The sequence below is a fragment of the Homo sapiens genome, chromosome 14 (genome assembly GCF_000001405.40).
Source record: "Homo sapiens chromosome 14, GRCh38.p14 Primary Assembly".
Lineage (NCBI taxonomy): Eukaryota > Metazoa > Chordata > Mammalia > Primates > Hominidae > Homo > Homo sapiens.
Window position 1 is genome coordinate 37,229,184 of NC_000014.9, and position 23,759 is coordinate 37,252,942.

Below are 23,759 nucleotides of genomic sequence, written 5' to 3' on the forward strand. Positions count from 1 at the left end.
TCTCACTCTGTTGCCCAGGCTAGACTGCAGTGGTGTGATCTCAGCTCACTGTAACCTCCTCCCTGGCTCAAGTGATCTCTTACTGCAGCCCCCAAGTAGCTGGGACTACATGCGTGTGCTACCACACCCAGCTAGTATTTTTTGTAGAGACGAGATTTTGCCATATTGCTTATGCTGGTCTCAAACTCCTGGATTCAAGTGATCTATCTGCCTTTGGCCTCCTAGAGTGCTGGGATTACAGGTGTGAGCCACTGCACCCAGCCAAGCCCATTATTCATTTTTGCCACTAAGACTAAACTAACCAAAAAACAAAACAAAACCCAAAAAGCCCATTGGTTATATGAATTAACATTACAGAGTAGCAGACCAATTAACATTATTAAATTAAGTCAACAACATGAAGAGATATATACTTAAATTCCATATTGAGTTTATGCAGCGATGTAGAAATAAAACTATTAGGAGGAAAAATCTGTTACGGTCACTACTGATTATATACCTCTTTATGCTGGTGATTGATTTTAGGGGCTTTTATTAAATTAAATTTACATACTTTTTGTCATGATTCAAAAATGGGGTTTGACTCAAAGTTTAGTTACATTAAGGATTAAAATATTTTTACATTAAAACTATATATGTTACAAAAAGACTGCATGGTCTCATTTATATGTAGAATCTAAAAAAGTTGGATTTAGAAATAGGAAGATGATGGTTATCAGGGGCTAAAGGTTGGGGATGGGAGTGATTGGGGAGATGTTGGTCAAAGGAGACAAAATTTCGGTTTGACAGGAGGAATAAGTTCAAGAGAGCTATTGTAAAACATGGTGACTACAGTTAATAACAATGTATTATATTCTTAAAAATTGCTAAGAGAGTAGATTTTGTGTTTTCACCACAAAAAAGACATGTGAGATAATGCATATGTTAATTAGCTTGATGCACCCATTCCACAATGTATATTTCAAAACAACATGTTGTGCATAAATATGTACAATTGTGACTTGTCAAGATACATAAATATGCATTTAAAAATCATTATTAAGAGGTGAATTTTGATAATCTTAAACCTGCTCTAACAGGACTAAAAATTTTCACCGAATTTTTAAGAAATAAAAAAAGTTTTGCTATGTTATTTATTAATAGGAAAAGGTCAACAAAGTGTTGAGAAACGCTGCTTCTGCTTTTGTATATGTCTCTAGCTGTTTGTTATTGTGACCAGTGGAACTTTGAAGAGAGTTTTACAGTGATGCTTGCAGGGTGTTGCTCCATATCTCTATCTTGTGGAGTAGCTTTGTATATTTTATCATCTTCCTTAAAGGGACAGCGTGAATACTAAGTTTTTCCTTGGAGAAATCAGCTGCCACTTTTCTTTTTCCTATGGGAAAATTTTATAAGATGTTGAAGAAATCCCAAGTATTCATAAATATTACTTATCAAATGAGAAATTTTGGTCAGAATCTTGGTTAGGAAAAATGTGGGTAATTACATGTTATAGATGAAAAGCTGGGTTTTCTAAAAGTCAGTTTTGTTAGGTTTACTGCAAAATTAATAAAAAGGACTGATATATAAGCTTTGCAAAGTGAGTCTATTTCTCCAGTAGGTGGCGCTGTATACTAATGATATTGTGCTACTGCATGGCAAACAAGGGAATGCAGCCGATGAGATAATAATATTAAACTTAAGTAAACCAATATGTAGTACAATTCAATATTTTACCTATTCATTATGTAACTAGAGGCAAAATATAATTTTATTCCATATATCTCTATCTATCTATCTATATGTTATTTTCCGGTTATCTGTGGAGAATGTGTACAGTTGATTGGTGGAGTTAGTGAGTTTTTATTGGTCTGTCCTTACACTTTGAGTCAGTACTCTAATGACCAAGAAAATGTAAAAGATTTTATTAGTATTATTATTATTATTTTTGAGACAAGGTCTTGCTGTATCGCCCAGGCTGGAGTGCAGTGGTGTGATCACTGCAGCCTCAAACTCCTGGTTTCAAGCGATCCTCCCACCTTAGCCTCTGGAGTAATTAGGACTACAGGCACTCACCACCATGCCCAGCTAATGTTTTTATTTTTCATAGAGATGGATTCTCCCTGTGTTTCCCAGGCTGGTCTCAAACTCCTGGCCTCAAGCAGGACTCCTGCTTTGGCCTTCCAAAGTGCTGGGATTACAGGCATGAGCCACTGTGCCCAGCTAATATTTTCAATATACAGTTGAAATTATTTTAAATGGCTTGCACTCAATGATTTGCCAAAATAATGGAAGTTCTGCATTCCCACTGATATTAACATACTGACTGATTTCTATGGTGTGCTTGATACTAAGGCTAATAGATGAATGTCTTGTAGATACTTCTGCATTTACCAGTTGATTTCTCTACTTAAAAAGTAGTATCAGGTGTGTTTGTTCTCAAACCTGTTTATGCTAATTGTATCTGTGATCATAATTATATAATTATATTAAAGTAAGCTAATGGAAATTTCATTATAAAAAGCATTCTCTCTAGGAAAACTAAGATGAATGTTTTGGAACAATCAGTAAAGGTTAATCACTAAAAAAAAATTACTATCAAAGAGGTGTGAGAAAACTGAATAAAAGCCCTACAGGCCGGGAGTAGTGGCTCGCACCTGTTATCCTAGCACTTTAGGAGGCTGAGGTGGGAGCCTCGTTTGAGGCCAGGAGTTAAAGAACAGCCTGGGCAACATAGGGAGATCGTATCTCTACAAAAAATTTTACAAAAGTAGCCGGATATGGTGGTATGTGCCTGTAGTCTAAGCTACTCAGGAGGCTGAGGTGGGAGGATCACTTGAGCCCAGGAATTTGAGGCTGCAGTGAGCTATGACCACACCACTGCACTCCAGCCTGGATGACAGAGCCAAACACTGTCTCTAAAAAAAATTAAAATAAAAAATAAAAAATATTTTATTATTGTTTGGCATATAAATCATGCTTGACTTCTGCAGTGTACCTAATGTATACTGTTTTATAGTATACAATGTTATAAAGACACACTGTGAATACAAGTAATACCTAGAAAATAGAAGTTATAAAAGAAGTTACTAATTGAAGAATTATCACTCAGCTAATAAATTTTATACATCAGGGTTTATAAGGAGTTTTGGTTAAGGTATAGATCAGCTTAACTGTTTTCTTCACAGTGTACTCTCTGTCCCTTATTAGTATCTTGCTACACATGTTCAGTCATCTTTTTATAATTTGTCTCACATTTTTTCTCAATATTTTATATAAAAGGAGAAACATACTAGTATTCCAATGATCACCAGGACTTGAGCCATCCAATGGGAAAATGGAAATTGCAACTATATCTCTTCACAAGTCTTCTAATGTCATCTTACCCTTCTGACTATTCTTTTTCCTCTTCTGTCAACACATACTTGTACCTTTTAATATCCTCTTACCATTTTGACTATTATTTGTTCTTCTCTTTCAGCAATACTTGTACCTTTTTATAGTATTGATGGAGGCATTTACTTGCATGTGTCACTTTTCTAAGACCAAATTCACTTTTTTTCCTCAATTTTTCATAAGTATCATGTCAGTTGGGGCCTTTAAATCAGCCTGCCAACATATTTTCTAATTCTGGAGATCAAGCAAATTTGATTTTCATTTACTTCTTTTAATGAACCTGCAATCCCATTGCTATATCATGCTGCCAAGGCAGAAAGATTAAAATCTGGCCACTCTAAAATTCCCAGATTATACAGTGATTAAACTATTCAGTAGTCATCCTAAGTGAGTATATAAGTCTTCTCCAGTGTAGCTGAGGTGTATACTGTTTCATCAGCTTAGTGAGGCATCCACTCCATGCATGTATGGCTTCATCTTTTTAAATTGATGCCAGTCTTGACCAGTCTTTTGGAAGAGAGCACCCTCTAGTGTCACTATTTGGGGTAACACGTGTATTTTATTGTGATGAAATGCTACTGAAAACACCATTTGGGCTTGATTCAGTAATTCAATACTCCCTAAAATTTCCAGTCATTCTTTGATTGTTGGGGCCAGTGTTTGTAATACAGACACTACAAAGGTTAGGTTAACATCAGGTACTTGTGGCCTGAGTGCAATTTAAATATAAATTGGCCCCAAGAAGAAGTCAGTTGGCTGTATTTAACTTTCATATTTTTTCAGAAACCTTTAACTTTTTCAAAAAGTTTATTCTATATGTGGAGGCTTCAAAAAGTTTATGGAAAAATGGAATTAAAAGATAAAAAATATAAACTTTATTTCTCAACATAAGTGTCATCAAGTTCAGGACACTTTTGTTGGTAATGATACCAGCCATTTAGTCCATCCCTAAAGAACTGAGGGTCCTAGGAATTTAACCATGTCAGTGCGGTCATTTTTACATCATTAGCTGACGAAAAATGAATGCCTTTTACAGATTTTTTAAGATTAGGAAACACAAAGAAGTCAGAAGGAGCCAAATCAGGACTATAAGGTGAATACTTAATGATTTCCCATCAGAACTCTCACAAAATTGCCCTTGTTTGATGAGAGGAATGAGCAGGAGCATTGCTGTGGGGGAGGAGGCCTCTCTGGTGAAGCTTTTCTAGGCATTTTTCTGCTAAAGCTTTAGCTAACTTTCTCAAAACACTTTCATAATAAGCAGATGTTATCATTCTTTGGCCTTCTAGAAAGTCAACAATCAAAATGCCTCGAACATCTTAAAAAACTGTTGCCATGGCCTTTGCTCTTGACCAGTCCACTTTTGCTTTGACTGGACCACTTTCACTTTTTGGTAGCCATTGCTTTGGTTGGACTTGGTCTTCAGGATCATACTGGTATAAAACCATGTTTATCTCTGTTACAGTCTTCAAAGAAATGCTTCAGGATCTTGATCCTACTTATTTAAAATTTCCATTGAAAGCTCTGCTGTTGTCTGCAGCTGATCTGGGTACAATGGTTTTGGCACCCATCGGGTAGAAAGTTTGCTCAGGTTTATTCTTCAATCAGAATTGTGTAAGCTGATTCCATTGAGACGTCTGTGGTGTTAGTTATTGTTTCTGCTGTTAATCATTGGTCCTGTTCAGTTAGGGCATGGTCACGACAATTTTTTTTTTTCTTGAAAATAGAGGTGAACAATCTGCTGCAGTGAGCTTCATCTTCAATATTGTCTGGTCCCTTCTTTTTTTCTTTTCTTTTCTTTTCTTTTTTTTTTTTTCAGGTGGGATCTTGCTGTATTGCCCTGGCTGGCCTCGAACTCCTAGGCTCAAGTGATCCACCCACCTTGGCATCTCAACGTGCTGGTATTACAGGCATGAGCCACCATGCTTTGCCTTAATTTTTAATTTTTAAATTTTTTGTAGAGATGAGGTCTGGCTATGTTACCCAGGCAGCTCTTTAACTCCTGGCCTCAAGTAATTCTCCTGTCTTAGCCTCCCAGAGTGCTGGTATTACAGGCATGAGGCACCACACCTGGACCCAAACCTTTAATTTAATTCCTGACAGTTGCTTTTGTTAAAGTGTTAGCAAAGCCTAAAATATAGTAGGCTTCCATTCTAGTTACTACTCATTTATTGGTCCCTGCAGTACTGATAGAGGTCTAATGTGGTCCACTTAGCTGAATTCTTTTTTTTTTTTGAAACGGAGTCTCACTCTGTCACCCAGGCTGGAGTGTAGCGGCACGATCTCGACTCCATGCAAACTCCGCCTCATGGGTTCAGGCCATTCTCCTGCCTCAGCCTCCCGAGTAGCTGGGACTGCAGGCGCCCACCACCACGTACGGCTAATTTTTTTTTTTTTTTTTTTTTTGTATTTTTCATAGAGACAGGGTTTCACCGTGTTAGCCAGGATGGTCTTGATCTCCTGACCTTGTGATCCGCCTGCCTTGGCCTCCCAAAGTGCTGGGATTACAGGCGTGAGCCATTGTGCCCAGCCAGCTGAATTCTTAAAGCCTATGTTCCCAAACTTTTTTTCATGATGCCCTTAGTGTCTTAATATTTTTATGCTGCTTCTGAGCTATTGTTCTCTCTTGTTCCATACTGATTTTTGCATGCTACTTGCTTTTTATCCCAGTAAGTGCTGTAAATCCAGATTTGTAAAGATATGAATTCATTGAATACAATGTAGTGAGATCTAATGATCCAACAGTGAACCTTCTTGAACTAGTAGTTCACATAGTGTTCAACAGATGTCATTGCTTCTCTTGAAAATTTAAAATATTTAATCCCTCTGTGTTTGCTGCAGTGTTAGGGAATCCTTGACATACAGGTCAAGAACCATAGGTTTGAGCCCATCTTCAAGGAATTACTATTGACTTTGTATGGGTGTGTGGTATAGTTAGACTCTAATTCTTATAATAATAGTCCTCTAACTGTTAGAGGACTATTTATTAATCACAGGTAGGATTCATTCTTGTTTGTGTGTATGTGTATCATAAAATGTACATAACATAAATTTTACCGTCTTAAGTGGATAGTTCAGTGGCATTAAGTAGATTCACAATGTTGTAGAAACGTTACTGTTAGTAACTTCCAGAACTTTTCATCATCTCAAGCAGAAACTCTGTACCCATTAAGCAGTATCTCCATATTGCCCCTCCCCTGGCTCCTGATAACCTCTATTCTACTTTCTATCTCTATGAATCTGCCTATTCTAGGGACCTCATATAAGTGGAATCATAAAGTAGTTGTCCTTTTGTATCATTTTACGTTCCTACCAGCAATACACAAGGGTTCCAGTTTCTCCATGACCTTACCAATGCTTAGTATTTTCAATTTTTTTTTTTTTTTGAGACGAACTCTTGCTCTGTCACCTAGGCTAGAGTGCAGTGGCACGATCTCGGCTCACTGCAACCTCCGCCTCCCGGGTTCAAATGATTCTCCTGTCTCAGCCTCCTGAGTAGCTGGGATTACAGGCGCATGCCACCATGCCCAGCTAATTTTTGTATTTTAGTAGAGACAGGGTTTCACTGTGTTGCTTAGGCTGGTCTCGAACTCCTGAGCTCAGGCAATCCACCCACCTTGGCCTCCCAAACTGCTAGGATTACAGACACTAGGATTACGCGCCTGGCCTCAATTTTTTGATAATAGTCATCTTGCTGGGTATGAGTCATATGTCATTGTGGTTTTAACATAGATTTCTCTAATAGCTCATGATGTTGAGCATCTTTTCATGTGTGTATTAGCCATTTGTATGTCTTCTTTGGAGAAATGTCTAATCAAGCCCCCCTCCCACTTTTTTTGTCTATTGAAGGCTGTAGTAGTGTGTTTCTTTTGAGGCTTTTCTAAATTATTATTATTATTATTTTTGAGACCCTTGTCGCCCAGGCTGGAGTGCATTGGTGCAATCTCGGCTCACTGCAGCCTCTGCCTCCCGGGTTCAAGCGATTCTCCTGCCTCAGCCTCCTGAGTAGCTGGGACTACAGGCATGCCCCACCATGCTTGGCTAATTTTTTGTATTTTTAGTAGAGACGGGGTTTCTCTATGTTGGGCAGGCTGGTCTTGAACTCCTGACCTCAGGTGATCTATCTGCCTCGGCCTCCCAAAGTGCTGGGATCACAGGTGTGAGCTACCACGCCTGGCCTCCAAATTATTTGTGCACTCTGTTCCTTGTTGTGTGTGATCAGTGACAGCTGTTCCTTTAGCTCATGTTCAGCTAATGTGTTTATAGAGTTTTTCTTGAATGCCAAGGCCTCTTTCAGTCTTTGCAAATTGCTTTGTGCTGGGACACTCCTTTAGCCCTTAGTTAGGCTTAATCTGATCCAGGGGATCATCCTGAGGTGAAAGTTTAAGATCTCAGGTCTTTTCTGGGAATGCCTCTTGCCTGGGCATGTGCGGGCTTTCTAGATTCCCTGGTATACTTGGCTGCTTGTCATGTGGTCACGTGTTAATTTCCCAGAAAGTCTTGCTCCAGCTTCTCTTTCAGGCCATAGATGGTCTGTCATATGTCTTCCCCAGTCATTTCTTGGCCTGGGTCTCTGTGGATCTGTTGTCACTTTGCAGCCTGTACAAGCAGTACCTGCCACTTTTCCTACCTGAGTTCTGAGCTAGGTGAAACAGAGGAGTGCCTTGTGTCAGTCCTTAAATATCCCCTAGACAGGTCAGCACAGACATGCACAACAATTTGTCTATCAGATCTACTCTGCTCCCTCTAGTTAGAGGGAGGGAACTGCTTCAAGTACAAGACTCCCACTGCACCAGGTAGGGGATGGGGGAAGAGCAAGTGAATAAAGCCATATAATACTGTGCTATCATTTTGAAGATGACTTTTTCTTGATTTGATGTTTTTTTTTGGTTGCTGTAAACCTTTGACTATTTTCTATAGCTCCAGCCAGCAAAGTTGGTTCAGACAGTTTCTGCTTTGGTTTTTTAAAAAATTCTCTCTGGGATAACAAGAGCATACATTTTTCTAGTCCACTATTTTGCTAACATCTCCCCCTTTGACTTTTTAAAAAAAGTTTTATTGTTGTTGTTTGTAGAGGCTGGGTCTTGTGTTGCTCAGGCTGGTCTTCAACTCCTGACCTTAAATGATCATGCCACCTTGAAGTTTTGATCTTAAGTAGTTAACTTTTGCACCCAACTTGGTGGGTGGTTTGTGTCTGGCTAAGACACTGTGCAGGTGCTCAGAGATATGTGATTGCTGTTTAAGGAAGGAGAGAATCTGTGTAGTTGAACTCTAACCCTTGAGCCAGTTTGGTCTCCATATTCTCGTGGACTGCTTGGTTAAGTCCTGCTCACTGACTGTTATGGTTTGTTTTGGTATGTGAACATTTCCCTTTCTTCGTTTTGAGCTTGTTTTTTTTGAAATTTTGAAATTTTTTTCTTCTCTTAGACACAGAGTCTCAGTCTATTACCCAGGCTGGAGTACAATAGCGCGATCATAGCTCATTGTAACCTTGAACTCTTGGACTCAAGTGATCCTCCTTCCTTGGTCGCCAAAGCAGCTGAGAGTTACAGGCAAACACTATCTTCTCCCTTCTGTGAAATAATTATTCAATGAATTTTACAAGAAAGTAAATGCTGTATATTCTCTTTTATTTTGCAATACATGTTTTAACTGTTTGTTATAAACGATTGCAAACATACACAAAAATAGAGAAATAGAATCACAATGCCTATGTATGTATTACCCAAGTTTGACAGTTATCCTTCATGGTTTGTGTTAGTTAATCTTGTTTCATATATATCCCATATTCTACCTGTCCTGTGAATCCTGCTCTTTTCCCCCCAGCTCCCATTCTCACCCCAGGATAATACTTATTAGTGAAACAAACTTCCCTCAGGAGGCATATAATGTTTGTCTTTTTGTAATAGTTTTAATAGTTATGACAGGATAAATATTCAGTTTTGGTTTCCCTTCATTTTATTTGAATTTGAGAGAAGATTTTCTTAACTAATTAATAATATAAAATGTCAGGTTAGTCATACAGCCATTTTGCAGGTAGTAATCATGATTATGTTATATAAATCACCACATCATAGAGATGAAACTTTCTTGAAAGAAGTGCTATTCAGGGCCGGGTGCAGTGGCTCACGCCTGTAATCCCAACACTTCGGAAGGTGGACTCTGGTGATCGCTTGAGCCTAGGAGTTCAAGACCAGTCTGGGCAACACGGTGAAACCCCACTTCTACAAAAAAAAAAAAAAAAAATTAGATGGGTGTGACGGCTCATACCAGTGGTGCAGCTACTCAGGAGGCCAAGGCAGGGGTATTGCTTGAGCATGGGAGCTGGAGGTTGCAGTGAGCCAAGATCACATCACTGCTCTGCAGCCTGGGCAACAGAATGAGACCCAGTCTCAAAAAAAAAGTAATATATATATTTATTTTTTAATGAAAAATGAAAAGTCATCAGTGTCTTTTGGGAAGTCTTTCAAAAGTAGCATACATTGCTTAATTTTTTTTTTTTTTTTTTTGAGATGGAGTCTGACTCTGTTGCCCAGGCTGGAGTGCAGTGGCGCTCGGCTCACTGCAAACTCTGCCTCCCAGGTTCACACCTTTCTCCTGCCTCAGCCTCCTGAGCAGCTGGGACTACAGGTGCCCACCACCATGCCCAGCTAATTTTTTGTATTTTTAGTAGAGACGGAGTTTCACCATGTTAGCCAGGATGGTCTCGATCTCCTGACCTTGTGATCCACCCACCTCAGCCTCCCAAAGTGCTGGGATTACAGGCGTGAGCCACCGCGCCTGGCCTGCTTAATTTACTTAATACTTGGACAGAAACACTGTGCAACTGTATTAGTATTAATTTTATAGATAATATTTTTAGCTCAGTTGATTTGTCATTTTGAGATAGCTTTTAAAAAAATGTGTCTTCAGAAACAAATTTGTAGTTGAACATATATTTCTGGATCCTAAGAAACTATAATGTGGTAAAAAAAAGAGTACAACACTTACATAAAATTTATAGTTGAAATTATAATTTTAAGTTGCAGGAAGAATAAAACTAATTGTTTCTTCAAGGAAATTTGTATGTATAGTTCAGCTTGTTTTATTTTTTCTTTTCATAATGCATTTTTATCCCATGTTATGGAACATCTGTTTTGGGATCATATTTTTACTACATGCTTTTCATTAATGAAAACATTTATTAAGAATGACTCAAGAAATTAAATCAGCTTTTGTAGTTTCTCAGAAAAATTAATGGAGGAGGCTGTGACATTCTTGATAATGAACAAGAAATTGGAACTATAAGTCTAATTTATTTTACTATCTTTAAAATCTTCACTTCTAGTAATTGTATTCTATAACCTGTAAGCTGACTTTAATATTACAGTTTTTAAAAATGAAGTACGTAGGTTGCATGCAGCACTGTCCTTTGGGATTGATTACTACAGTAATTTTAGCAAATTACATAGATAAATATTGTATTTTTTGGTGTTTCTTTGAGACATGTCTTACTCTGTCGCCCAGGCTGGAGTGTAGTGTGCAATTATGGCTCAATTATAAAATTGTCATTACATGTTTAAAACTCAAAGTATGGCTTGTTATTAGGATATATTTATTCTTCCGTATATGCCTCTGTTTGTTAAGGTCTTCTTTGTTAGTATTTATTGTTAAACTACAGAAAATATGGAAAATCGCTAAATGGTTTTTGTTCAATTTGAGAAAAATCTGTTAGTAAGCATTATAATATATGATGAATTAAAGACCTAAATGATTATTTTTAACTTTATTTTTGAAAGACATTTTCTGATAGCTATTCTTTTGTTTGATTTCAAGTGGCTACTTATCACAGTTGTCATTATAGATAAATTTAGCTTACTCTAATACATTTTCAGCTTTGATTTGCCAGGAACTTCAGGTGGCTGTATGGAAATGTAAACCTTTGTATGAAGGAGTGTATCAGTGCGTCAGAACTTGGCACCCACAAGGATCTTAAGAAAACAGGCTATTTGTTCCTTGGAGAAACTATTCTGTAAGATGACTTTGTTTTTATATTCTGCTCTGTGCTAGATTAAGTGATTTAGTTTAGTTTTGCTTAGGGCAAAACGTTTCAGGATATTTTAGAAAATCCTGGTATGCGATTACCTTCTGAAAATAATACTAGTTTTACAATTTTGCTTTTTATCAGTAGGCTTTGCAGTGCCATATTCATTCTCAAAGTGTCATTTGCAGCTGGCACTAAAGACTACTGCAGTATTCAAAATAGTGTATTGTCTTACCCTCCAAATTTTGAAAATGTGGAAGCCATATATTTGAAGCACCAAGTATTAATTTCCTCTTAATTTGATGTCCTTTTATGGTTAGTTTTTAGAGAAACTACCAGTAGGTGACACACACACACATACACACACACACACACACACACACACACAGGTTTATTATAAGAATTGACCTATGTGATTGTGGAGGCTAACAAGTCCCAAGATCTGCAGTCAGAAAGCTGATGACCCTGGAGAGCCAGTAGCGCAATTCTGGTGCCAGTTCGAAGGCCTGAGATCTAGGAGAGCTGATGGTATATTTCCAGTTTAACGACTACTGAGCTTGAGCCCCAAAAGAGTGAATATTTCATAGTCTGAAGGCAGTAAAGGACTGATGTCCCAGCTGAAGGCAGTAAGGCAAAAGGAGATCCCTCTTGCTTTCTAGAGGTCAGTCTTTTTGTTCTATTCAGGACCTTGAATGATTAAATGGCCCACCTACATTAGGGAGGGCAGTCCACTTTCCCCAGTACACTGATTCAAATGTTAATCTCATCCAGAAACAACCTCACAGACACACCTAGAATAATGCTTGTAAATATCTGGCCAGCCCATGGCCTAGTCAGGTTGACACATAAAATTAGGCTAGGTTCAGTGACTCATGCCTATAATCCCAGCACTTTGGGAGGCCGAGGTGGGAGAATCGCTTGAGTCCAGAAGTTTGAGACCAGCCTGGGCAAGATAGTGAGGACTGGTCTCTATTACGGGTGCGGCAGGGTGTGGGGGTGAGGGGGTGGGGGTGGGGAGGTGGGCGGAAACCGTTACATTGACCTTCAATGATGGGATGTAATTAGTCTTTTTTCATGGTAATTTTTTGAACACTGAAGCATAAAGGGGAACTATCTGTGATAGACATAAAATGTAATAATACAAAACAATTTATTTTCATTATAAATTTTTTAAACTTTAGAACCCTGAATTTAGACTCCTGAATTCTGAGACAATTGTAAATAGTCCCTAACTGAACTAAGAAATGTGATTTTTAGAAACATTTGTTTAATTCTCAGAAACTCTTTCTTACATTTTGAACTTCTCTATTCCAAGACATTCTTGCCATATGTATTAGTTTATTTTGAACTTTTTAGTCTAGTTAATCCAAGCAAACACGCCAGCAAGCAAGCAGTCAATCAATCATAACAAAGTATAATTATAAAAGATTAATTAGGCAATAATAGTTTTTTCAAAGTTTCAAGGGTGTCATGAAGATCACTGTCTTTCTATTCATTTTGGGCCTCTCGGTGGTAATGTAATGTCCTTCAAGGTTTCCTATTAAATTCCATATTATTTGTAAATATTTAATTATTAAATTAGAAGTAATACATGCACCCAATTAAAAAACCAAATTATACCTATAAATATAAAATGAAATATAAATGTTTCTTTCCCTCATTCTCTCTGTCTCCCCACCCCAACTCATAGGCCCTTTCTTCAGACTAACCACTGGTAATAGTTTCTTATGTATACTTCTGTAAAAAAATAATGTGCCTATTCAAGCATGTATATATATGTGAGTATAATTTTTCTGTTTTTAATTTATCCATACTTTGTGCCTGTATTGTTTTGACCGAGGATATATTTGTATAGGAAATCTATTTGTCTTATTCACCATTTTATATCTAACTCCTATAATATTGTCTGGCTCATAGTATACACATAGTATATATAGATCTCTTGCATTTATGATATAAACCATATAGGTTTTCCATATGGTTGAGCCACATTTTATTTATACCAGTTCTCTATTGACGGACATTTATGTTAGTTCTAGTTTCTTGCTAGTCATGTCCCTCCACCTGTCCATCCACCTGTCTGTTCATCAAATGTTTACTGAGTCCATATTTTATGCCAGATACTCTTCTAAGGATAGAGAGATGGGGGAGAAAAATCAAGGGCCCTGTTTACATGTAAGTTACTGAGATATATCAAAAACAATGAAATAAAATCTAAACAGATCAGTTTCATGAAGGCAGTAGTGCAGGTAATGTGATGAGAAAAGAGTTTCTACTTTAGATGGGATGGCCAGGCAAAACCTTTATTAAGAGATGACTTTTGAGCAAGGCGTGCATAATGAGAGAAATGGCTTAGAGATCTAGAAGAGAGAATTCTAGGCATAGAGTATAATAGCAAGATAAAAGCTCTGAGGCAAGAATAAGCTTGGTGTGTTCGAAGAACAGAAAGAAGACCAGCATGACTGGAGCATAAGTATTTGTTCTTACAAATAAAAACTGCTGTAATGAATATCTTTGTACATAAAAATATCTTACATATTTTTGTAAATATTTTTAGTAATGGAACTGTGGGGTCAAATAATTTAAATATATGCCTTTTAAATTTGTATAGCTGTGGTACAGGGCCACTATTATCCCTTATCCTTTCTTCCTGAACCTCTTCTTGCTTTTCATAGCTCTGAGGAACTTGAGTTATCTGGAGCTTGGTAAGCAGTAGGCACACTGGGTGAAAGAGATTCTTTTGGGAAGAGAACGTGTCAGGGGCTATAAATGTTTGAGTCTTTTGTATAATAAGATGAAAATCCAATAGTAAGACATGTGCTTATATTGTGTTGTGTGATAAAATATTTGGCTCTCTGAAATAGCGTGCTTTCCTTTTTATGAAACTATTTTAATGCAGAAATTATCAACATTTCTCAAGCTAGAAAATACAAAATTCAGAGTTTTTCTAAAATTACAGTTGGATAAAATGAAGTATTGTAAATGATCTCTAGTTTGATACTTGGATTCAATTTACACAAATTTGTGATTAAGCTAAGAAAATATGAAAAATATGGCATAAACCAAAGTCAGCTGAAAACGTTTGCTAAAGTGTGGCTTTTGTGGAGGAAGGTAGGAAGAGCATCTCCTATTTAAAATGTTTTTTAAAATCCTGGATACTGTTACATTGGGGAATGAAATCCCATTTTTAAATGCTTCTCTGTCAAAAAGGCATTATTTAATTTTAAAGGGTAAATGTCAGAATTACTTACAATTTTTTAGGCAGATTAGAAATTTCAGACTGGTCAAAGAACAAATTTTGTTTCATGAAGTGTTTTAATGCTGAGTAAATAGGAGAGTCAAGTCACATTTGAGAGCATAGGGATATTTGTTTAAATTTTTTCAACCTTCTTTTTTTTGGTGAGTGCATGTAGGAAACTTTATCAGATATATTGAGATTCCTATGTACCTAGAGAGAGAGAAGGGTGTGCAGTTTGCTTAATTATTATTTATTTTTCTTTTCTTCCATGTAAGACTCACTTCCTTTTTTTTTTTTTTTTTTTTTTTTTTTTTTTTGTGAGACAGGGTCTCACTCTGTCACCAGGATGGAGTGCAGTGGCACAATCTTGACTCACTGCAGTCTCCGCCTCTCGGGTTCAAGCAATTCTCCTGCCTCAGCCTCCCGAGTAGCTGGGGACTACAGGTGCACACCACCAAGCCAGGCTAATTTTTTTTTATTTTTAGTAGAGACGGGGTTTCACCATGTTGGCCAGGATGGTCTTGATCGCCTGACCTTGTGATCCGCCAGCCTTGGCCTCCCAAAGTGCTGGGATTACAGGCGTGAGCCACCATGCCCCGCCACTTCCTTTTTTATATACTGAAAATTTTTCAGAATTAAAAATAGCTTGGAGGAATGAGGCTAGGAATTTATTATGGAGAATATTTTAACAGCTGCTCATATATCCTCTGTTGGTTATAGTAGAGTTTTTTTTTTTTAAATAGGTGATTTTTTCCATCACAACTTATAAACAAACTTTAGTTGCAAATTGATTTTACTTTGCTTCTTGAACCTGGTGTAGATTAGTAATAACGTAATCTTTATATGTTTTGTCTTTAATGTAATGTTAGCATTTGGATTAAGAAACCCAATTTATCTGATTGTCTACTGTAAAATCATCCCACTAGTTTTAATGTGAATATATAATTTTTGACTGAAAACAAATTCTTGATATCAAATCTTTAAGGTAAGGACAGAAATTAGTATTTTATTAGTCTTAATCCTTTGTCCTAAAAAAGAAGTATAAATATGTTGCATCTTTACAGAAATCTTCTCCTATTATATGTAGATATGTTTTAATTGTTTGAAACATTAAAACATCTAATTTTTGCTGAAGAATATGCAAATGTGCCACTAAATCTGTTTTTTAAGATTTTTCCAGTTTAATGTCTGAATCCAAATTCATAAAGAGTTGGAAAAATGAGATGTCTGAGCTATAGGATTCACAGGGATTTCATATGAAGCCTATTTAATCAGGATAACACTGTTATTAATATTCATAATGTCAGCTGGAACACAAATGACAGACTATGGGGCCTAAAAATTTTACTTGGTGAATTTATTAAAAGTAGCTTAAAAAATTAATGGAATTTAAGTAAAGTTGGTGAATATGAAAATCTTGTGTTAGCAGAAAAAAAATTCTCTATTAGAACTTTCCTTTAAGACCATTTTGCATTGATGTCTTTTGACAGATTTCATTGGTACTTAAAGAAGAAAGATGCATGAATGGTCATTTAAGAGGATTTAAACACATTGGCACATTAATTTTTACATGAATAATAAGTACTTTCCAAAAGCAATTAACTTACAGTGTACAAGATATGAATTGAAAAATAAGACTGTGACATCAAGGGCAAAGCAAATGTGCTGTACATTTTAAACTTAGTGACAGGACTTTTTAATATTTTGATTTATTTTATTTTTATGGTTTGTGCTGGTTATGACTTAGAATGTGGTTATTTTAATGCATTTAAAAGCAAATTTAAAGGACATTAATTTATTACTCTCTTCGTCTCCAAAAATATTGGTGTAGTGTTAAGCATTATCTTCTGCCAAGGACCATTTGCATTTTTTGAAGAAGTAAACATTTATTGTGCTAATTGCAATATTTTATCAGAGAAGATGTTCAAATTACAGAAAGGCAATGGGATGATACTGTTTGGGTTTAAGGCTACTAATACATATTTTTAACACAGGCTTTTTGGTTATAGCATAACTTAAGAGTATAATAAATAAGCTTCTGAAAGTTAGTTGTGAAAAGTTAAGGACCACTTGAGTAGTTAGTATATAAGTACATTTGTCCTGAATTTTAGCCTAAGAAGGTAAAATGTTGGGAATGACCTAAAACAGGATGCATTTTTGTGTAGTACTTGTTAGTCTTTACATTTTGAAATATGCCTATAATGACAGTTATGATAGTACTCAGGTTTTTGTTTTGGTTATTGAAGTTTATTAAAAAATTAATTTTAGATCATTATTTAAAGTCATAACAGTATTGAATATTTTGTTTTACATTTTCCATGCATATTTTACTACATATAAAAGCATAGTTTAGTTATTATCCATAACAGCCAAGTTACGCTTTGCCATTAAGAGAACAGAGGTGTTGACTGGCAGTCTCGTTGGGTACTAGAAGTTTCACTTGCAGTCTGCCATAAGCATTATTTTATTTCATTAAAAGTGTAGAAATCACCTATATGAAATAGATGTAGTTTGGGACTCAGAGCTTTATTGGACAAATCATTAATTATCTCAGTGTCCATAAATTATCATAATATAGGTATTAATTTAGATTTTTGTTATAAGTCATGGAATCAAATTGGTATATTGGTTATTTTGTCTAGAGGCTTTCTAAAACTTGGGTTTTGTGGAATTTTTTTGTTTGGCTCTGAGTTATTCCCTTAAATGCCCAGGAGAGGGCAGCATTTTACTACATCAGTCTTACAAAAGAATTTGCCCTGCTTAGACTGTCAATGTTTCTTGTAATTACTCCCAGTATATTTGTTGCTTGCTTATGAATTAACTTGCATTTATGGAACTAAATCATTCCAATCATTTAATTACACCTGAGGAGCTGAACTATAATTGCTTGCTTCCAACTAGGATCTGATATGGCTTGAGCAGTATTAATTTGGTGTTTACTTTTCTGAGTGCTAAAAGCATTAAAATGATTGTGCAATGGGATTACATTTTACTAATTGCTGGCATTCATTAGCTGGGTAAATGATGAGGAAGAGTGACTGTATATTGCAGAGGGATAAAATTATGGTTTTAAATAGTATATTACTAAGCACATTAAGGCCTGTAAGACATGTTTTAAAATACTCCAGAGGTTATTAAAGACTGTATTTTCTACATGTCTTGGTATATGAATCTCTTATTAAAATACTGCAATTATTATTAACCTTTTTGGGCAATATGTAGGGAAATGGCTTCATTGACTGGAACATATTTCTTTGATATTAATAACTTCCTATATTTTCAGCTAATCCAAAAGTAAATGAGAAACTTAGAAAAAGATTGCCAATTCCAAATCAACATATTTAGAGAAAATTGGAAAAGGAGAAGCTTACTACAGCTTTATTTGAGGACTTTTTAAAGAACGCTGGGTTCTATCTGTGAGGTAAATCTAATTTTATTCTCCTTAAAAGCATAAAAAAAAACTTGCATAGTGTTTTATCATGTTTACTACAAAAACAAATAAGAGAGAGGAGTATCATTAATTCCACAAGTTAGTGGTGGTCTTTATGTTTTTTAAAATTAGAGTAATATTCTTAAATTACTTTTATAAGTAAAATTTATTAAAGTAATCTATATGAATATATACACAGTAAATTCAAATCAGTAAATTTGAAATTTTTGGTATAAAATTTATGACAAATAAAGTAAAAATGTATTTTTCTTAAATGCTTAAAATTGTAGTTGAAGAAGATTTCAGTTAAATAAATTAAATGGTTCTCTACCCAAATCAGCATGAATGTCTAAAAAACTTAACCTGAACTGTATATACTAAAATACAAGTGTGAAGAAAAGAACCTTTTTCTGAGAAAAAGATTTAATTTCTCCTGTTGAAATTCTCAGTTAATTGTCCCATTGTAAATGTTTTAGAAAACCATTTATCCTGTAAATTCTCTGTTAAACAAAGGTAAGATTTAGGTGTGTTCTGATATATTGTTTTCAGTTTATTTATCTAGAGTTGGCTTTATTTTAGCTGCAAATCTTGGAGCAAAAACCAGAGACATTGCCAGAGCAAACAAGAACAGAAATACAAATGGAGAACTGGTCAAAAGGTAAGGACTTTTAAGGTATTAATACCAAGCCCCAGGTGTTGTTCTAGTTCAAGGCACTGAGTGAAGTGTGTTTGTTCTAACCAATATATTAGACAGAGGTAGACAAGTGCGCACACACACACACAAAACATGCACACAGAGACCCAGGGATTATGAAAGAGATACAAAGAAAGACACACAGAGAAAAGAGACATACACACAGAGAGAAAGGGACACACACATGCACACAGAGGAGACACAGAAAAGACATTGAGAGAGGGAGAAAAAAAAAGACACACCAGGAAATAGAAACACGCCTACATACAAAGAGACAGAGGAGACAGAATGACTGTGACAGAGATGTACAGAGCCACATTCAGAGAAAGAAAACACATAGAGAAGGAGATCCTCAGAGAAAGAGACACAGGAAGGAAGATACTTGAAGAGGGAAACACATAGAGGCACTGACACACACCTGGAGGCACACAGAAAGAGAAGCATACACAGAGACTCATAGAGAAAGAGAGATACCGCAGTAAGAGACTTGGTAAGAAAGAGACAGATGTATAGTGAGGGACAGAGAAAAAAAAGAGACACATTGAGAGTGATAGAGACACAGGCATGCGGACAGATACAGAGAAAGAGATGTACATACAGACAAGAGACACATATAGTGAAAGAGACAAGATATGGCTCTTTCAGACATATAGCGAAAGAGACAAGATACAGATATCTATATCTATATCTATATATATATCTCTCTCTCTCCTCACACAGAGAGAGAAATGCCAGAGTGAAAAAGAAAAATCCACCAGAGAAACAGACACACCTAAAGTAAGGAGAGAGAGTAGAGAGAATGAGAGACAGACATGTATATATGCAGACAGAGGAGAAAGACATAGATCAGAAGATACATACATTGAAAAATAAATTAAGACACATATATGAGACAGAGAAGAAGAGACTCACAGGTATGCACGTGTGGAGGAACACAGCCTGAGAGGCAGAGAACAGTCAGAGACAGATAGAATTGGAAAGACTGTCTGAAGACAGAGACAGACTGAGATATGGCCTGAAAAACAAATGGAAGGATGGATGGATGGATGGATGGATGGATGGATGGATGGATGGGTAGATGGATGGACGGACAGTCAGATAGATAAGAGCAGCAGACATAAGGGAGGGGGCAAGAGATATTTAAGATCTATTACAGTAAAATGTTGAAAATTTGGAATCCTTGGGAAATGATTCTTTCTGAATGTGATATTACATATATTTGAAAACTTAAACCTTTATGTACATCTTTTAAAATTTCCTCTTGTATTATAATTTAAAAAATAGGATTCTTATTAAAACACTGTGTGCATCTCTTCCTTTTTTGGTTCCCCTTCCCCCAACAGGGCTCCTGTTCAGCATAGTCCTGCCACATTTTTATCCTTTTTTGAAGGTTAAAGTCCATTTTTGAGGACCGTTCTATAATCATTGTACTGAATAAGTTAACAATTATACATTCTTTTGAGTTATAGAAAGATCTGAGTGCCTTTTTCTGATTTCTGGATTTTGTTTTTGATTTTTATACTGTTAACAAATTTTCTTGCTGTTTTTGCACCCACCATTAGTAATTTCTCTTTTTATTTGTCACTCTGGGCTGCTTATTATGAGTTTAGAATCCAGATAGCTGATGTAATTCTATATAAAACAATCATATATAATATCTGGGTAAGATAGTTCAAGGTTTTTTGTGCAAAGTTAATAGTGCGTATATTATGTGACACTTAATTTTGGTGTGCTCTATATATTCAAGTTGTGGATAAGAATGTATTGGTATGAAGTTAGGAACTAATTTGTTATAGCTGTGTTTATTCATTTATTCAAGTAAGTAAGCAGATACTCTTCTTTTAAAGAGCTCAAAAGCATTTTACTCAATTGATGTTAAAAAAAAACAAAAAGGAAGCAAATAATGATGCATCTGTTGTGTTTCTCATTCACACATCATATTGCTGTAAGAGTTATATTAAAATTAGAGACCAAACGATCTTTAAGGAGTCAAAGGAGTTATTTTTAATATATCTAAAGAGATAGAGACTGTAGAGGAAGTACTACTGATAAATGTCCAGTAATCAGGAAGGATGTCAAGGAAGGAGCTGATGAAGCTCTGGGATACTTATGAAAAGGAAAGTTTTATGGTTGAAGATACAGATGCATAGACAGTTTACAGTAGGCACAGTAAACTATATAGATGCATAGACAGTTTACAGCAGACATGACTGATACAGCATTAGGAAAATCTACATTTTTACAGGCATCTTTTTGACATTGGAAAGAGGAATAAGACATTCCCTTTTATAAGGATCCATTATTAAACATTATTAGGAAAAAGGTCAGATGCGGTGGCTTATGCCTGTAATCCCAGCACTTTGAGAGGCGAAGGCAGGTGGGTCACTTGAGGTCAGGAGTTCGAGGCCAGCCTGACCAACATGGTGAAATCCTGTCTCTACTAAAAATACACAAATTAGCTGGGTGTTTTGGGCACACCTGTAATCCCAGCTACTCGGTAGTCTGAGGCAGGAGAATCACTTGAACTCCAGTGGCGGAGGTTGTAGTGAGCAGAGATCATGCCATCACACTCCAGTCTGGGCAACAGAGGGAGACTGTCTCAATAAATTAAATAATATTAGGAAATAAAATTAAACATAAATATTTTAACTTTCAAGTCTTGGGATAACAGATATGTTTAAACAGTAAAATCTCACATCGTCATCTCCCTGATGGCAGGGTTCATGGGATTTATCTTAAATCACAAATTGCTTCAAAGCGCTATCTTACATAAATGTTCCTAGTCGGTTCCTTTGAATAGTTATTTTATTTAGTATAATTTTACTAATTTTAAAAGAAATTAAGTTAATTAAAACTTGTATTACACAGATATGCCTTTATTTCATCTTACAAATTTCATTTTAAAGAGTGCTGAAGTGACCATTTTTTTCCTAGCTTTACTGTAGAAACGCTTCTGAAATATTTTAAGTCAAAGAGTTGATAAGATTGATAATGTAACATATAGAACCATTTATGTTTTTCTTTGTTTTTGTCATTGTAGACATTTTGGAAAATGGAAAGCTGAGGTTGGTAGATGGGCTGGGTGATGACATCTACAAAATAAACCCAAGTTTTTTTTTATATGTATATTTTTTAAAGACAGAGTCTCACTCTGTCATCCTTGCTGGAGTGCAGTGGTATGATCATGGCCCACTGTAACCATGAATTACTGGGCTCAAGCAGTCCTCCTTCCTCAGCCTCCTGAGTAGCTTGGACTACAGGCATGAGTCACTGTATCTGGCTAATTTTTTTAAAAATGGTTTGTAGGGGTTGGGGGGTCTCACTATGTTGTCCAGGCTGTTCCCAAACTCCTAGCCTCGAGCAATTCTCCTGCCTCAGACTCCCAAAGCCCTGGGATGACAGGCGAAAACAACTGTATCTAGCCCCCAAGTTTCTTTAAGGAGTTAAAAAAACAGTCCTGAATGAATGTAGTTTGTAAGTTGATAAAAACAATGTGTGTGTGAATAAACATATATTGCCAGCAAAAAATGTGTTACCATCTTCAGGCCTTTTAAGGGGTAAGTGATGTTTTGCGTTTTTGTGAAAACTTCTATTTAAGGGTTCTCTTTTGAAAAAAAAAAAGGAAAAAATGAAATGTCATAATCAAAGGAGTTTATACCCTCTGAAATAATGAGTTGTTAAATTATTGTTGTTTAGCCCTTTTTTGTACTTACTTATATACATAACTATGTAAGAAAAAAGACATAGAGATCGTAAATCTTATATGAATAATTATTTGGAATACTGTTATAAATTCCTGATCATTTCTTAAATTAATGTTTATTTTTATTAGCAGATACATGGTTAAGTAGTTTTATAGCATACAACAATTCTTTGCAAATAGTTTACATATTTACAGGTAAATATGTCTGCCCTAAGTATACATACTTGCAATTTTGTAGGTAAAAATGAGATCTGGATACCAGTTAAATTTAGAAAATTGTGAAACTTATTTAAATTTAGAACCTTTAGGGGTCAGTGTTCCCTAAGAAAGGTTACAAAAGGTTACTGTGCCTACCAAAATTAAATATTAAATCTGCTATATTGTAAATATATATATATTTTTTACCAATTTAAGGTAAGAAATGATGAGAATTATACCTTGAAGAAGCTTTTGACCAAAACCTTTCAATTTAATGAGTTTGTTCAATATTGTTTTTAGGTTTATTATTTGGGGGGATCATCATATGTAATATATATTTTACACACAAGTAGTTATTTTTATTTATGTATTATCTAAATTTAGATATAGATTACATATTTTTAATTTATCTTTAAGCTTAAAACATGATCATGATTCTAAATCAGGAATCATTGTACTTATTTGAAATAAGGTGAAAAAGCACTTATAGAATGGCTGTGTAAATAGAATTCTTACATTTTTCAGTTTATTGGAGGCTAGTAAATATTTAACAATTTTTTATCCTACTGAATTTAAGTAAAAAACAGTTGTCTTCTTCCTTATTTTAGAATTGGACTGGCAAGTATCATTTGTATCCATGATTCTTACGGTTTTTCTATAAAACACAGTAACACAAATTTTTTTTAAATAAATGAAACTTAATGAAAGGTAACTTGCAAGTGGTTTGGTAGTTTCTTGTTGAGTCAGAATAATGTTTATTTGTCCTTGGCATTTTGAACCTGTGTGCCACCATCAACCTCTTGTATTATTGATTCATTTATCTTTCTCTCTGTTCACAAAGTACATATTCTGTTTTACCTTTTGTCTGTCTGCAATTCTGTAATTGAATTATAACTAAAACTATTCCATGATTTGCAGACAATTTGTAAGTGTAGACACTGAAGAACCACTGTAGGAAAACATAATTGATGCTTTTAAATGTTGTTGATCATTATGACTAAAATATGATTGTAGAATCTCATATCACTTTTATAAACTATTTTATGTTTAAGGCGGAGAAGAAGGAAATGACAAATTGCTTAGAATGGACATTCATTG

The 23,759-nt window shown here is 35.6% G+C and overlaps 1 protein-coding gene across 13 annotated transcripts in view, besides 1 other annotated feature; it reads left to right on the plus strand.

Moving 5' to 3' along the window:
- Positions 1-23,759, plus strand: part of MIPOL1 (mirror-image polydactyly 1) — a 354,425-nt gene that overhangs the window by 31,247 nt on the left and 299,419 nt on the right. For 11 of the 13 annotated variants that reach the window (NM_001195296.2, NM_001195297.2, NM_138731.7 and 8 more), the window contains 2 exons: positions 17,920-18,057; positions 18,646-18,724. The exons of the other annotated variants lie outside the window; for them this stretch is intronic. In NM_001195296.2, coding sequence (NP_001182225.1) covers positions 18,706-18,724 — 19 coding nt within the window. In that variant the 5' untranslated portion in view covers positions 17,920-18,057; positions 18,646-18,705. The remainder of the gene's footprint in view (positions 1-17,919; positions 18,058-18,645; positions 18,725-23,759) is intronic. 13 annotated transcript variants of the gene reach the window in all.
- Positions 10,050-10,226: a silencer, noted in NCBI's record as "fragment chr14:37708438-37708614 (GRCh37/hg19 assembly coordinates)". NCBI's record gives its function as "represses an EF-1alpha promoter that drives an FKBP-Casp9 reporter gene in an ReSE screen in K562 erythroleukemia cells {active_cell/tissue: K562}" and the evidence as "EXISTENCE:reporter gene assay evidence [ECO:0000049][PMID:32094911]".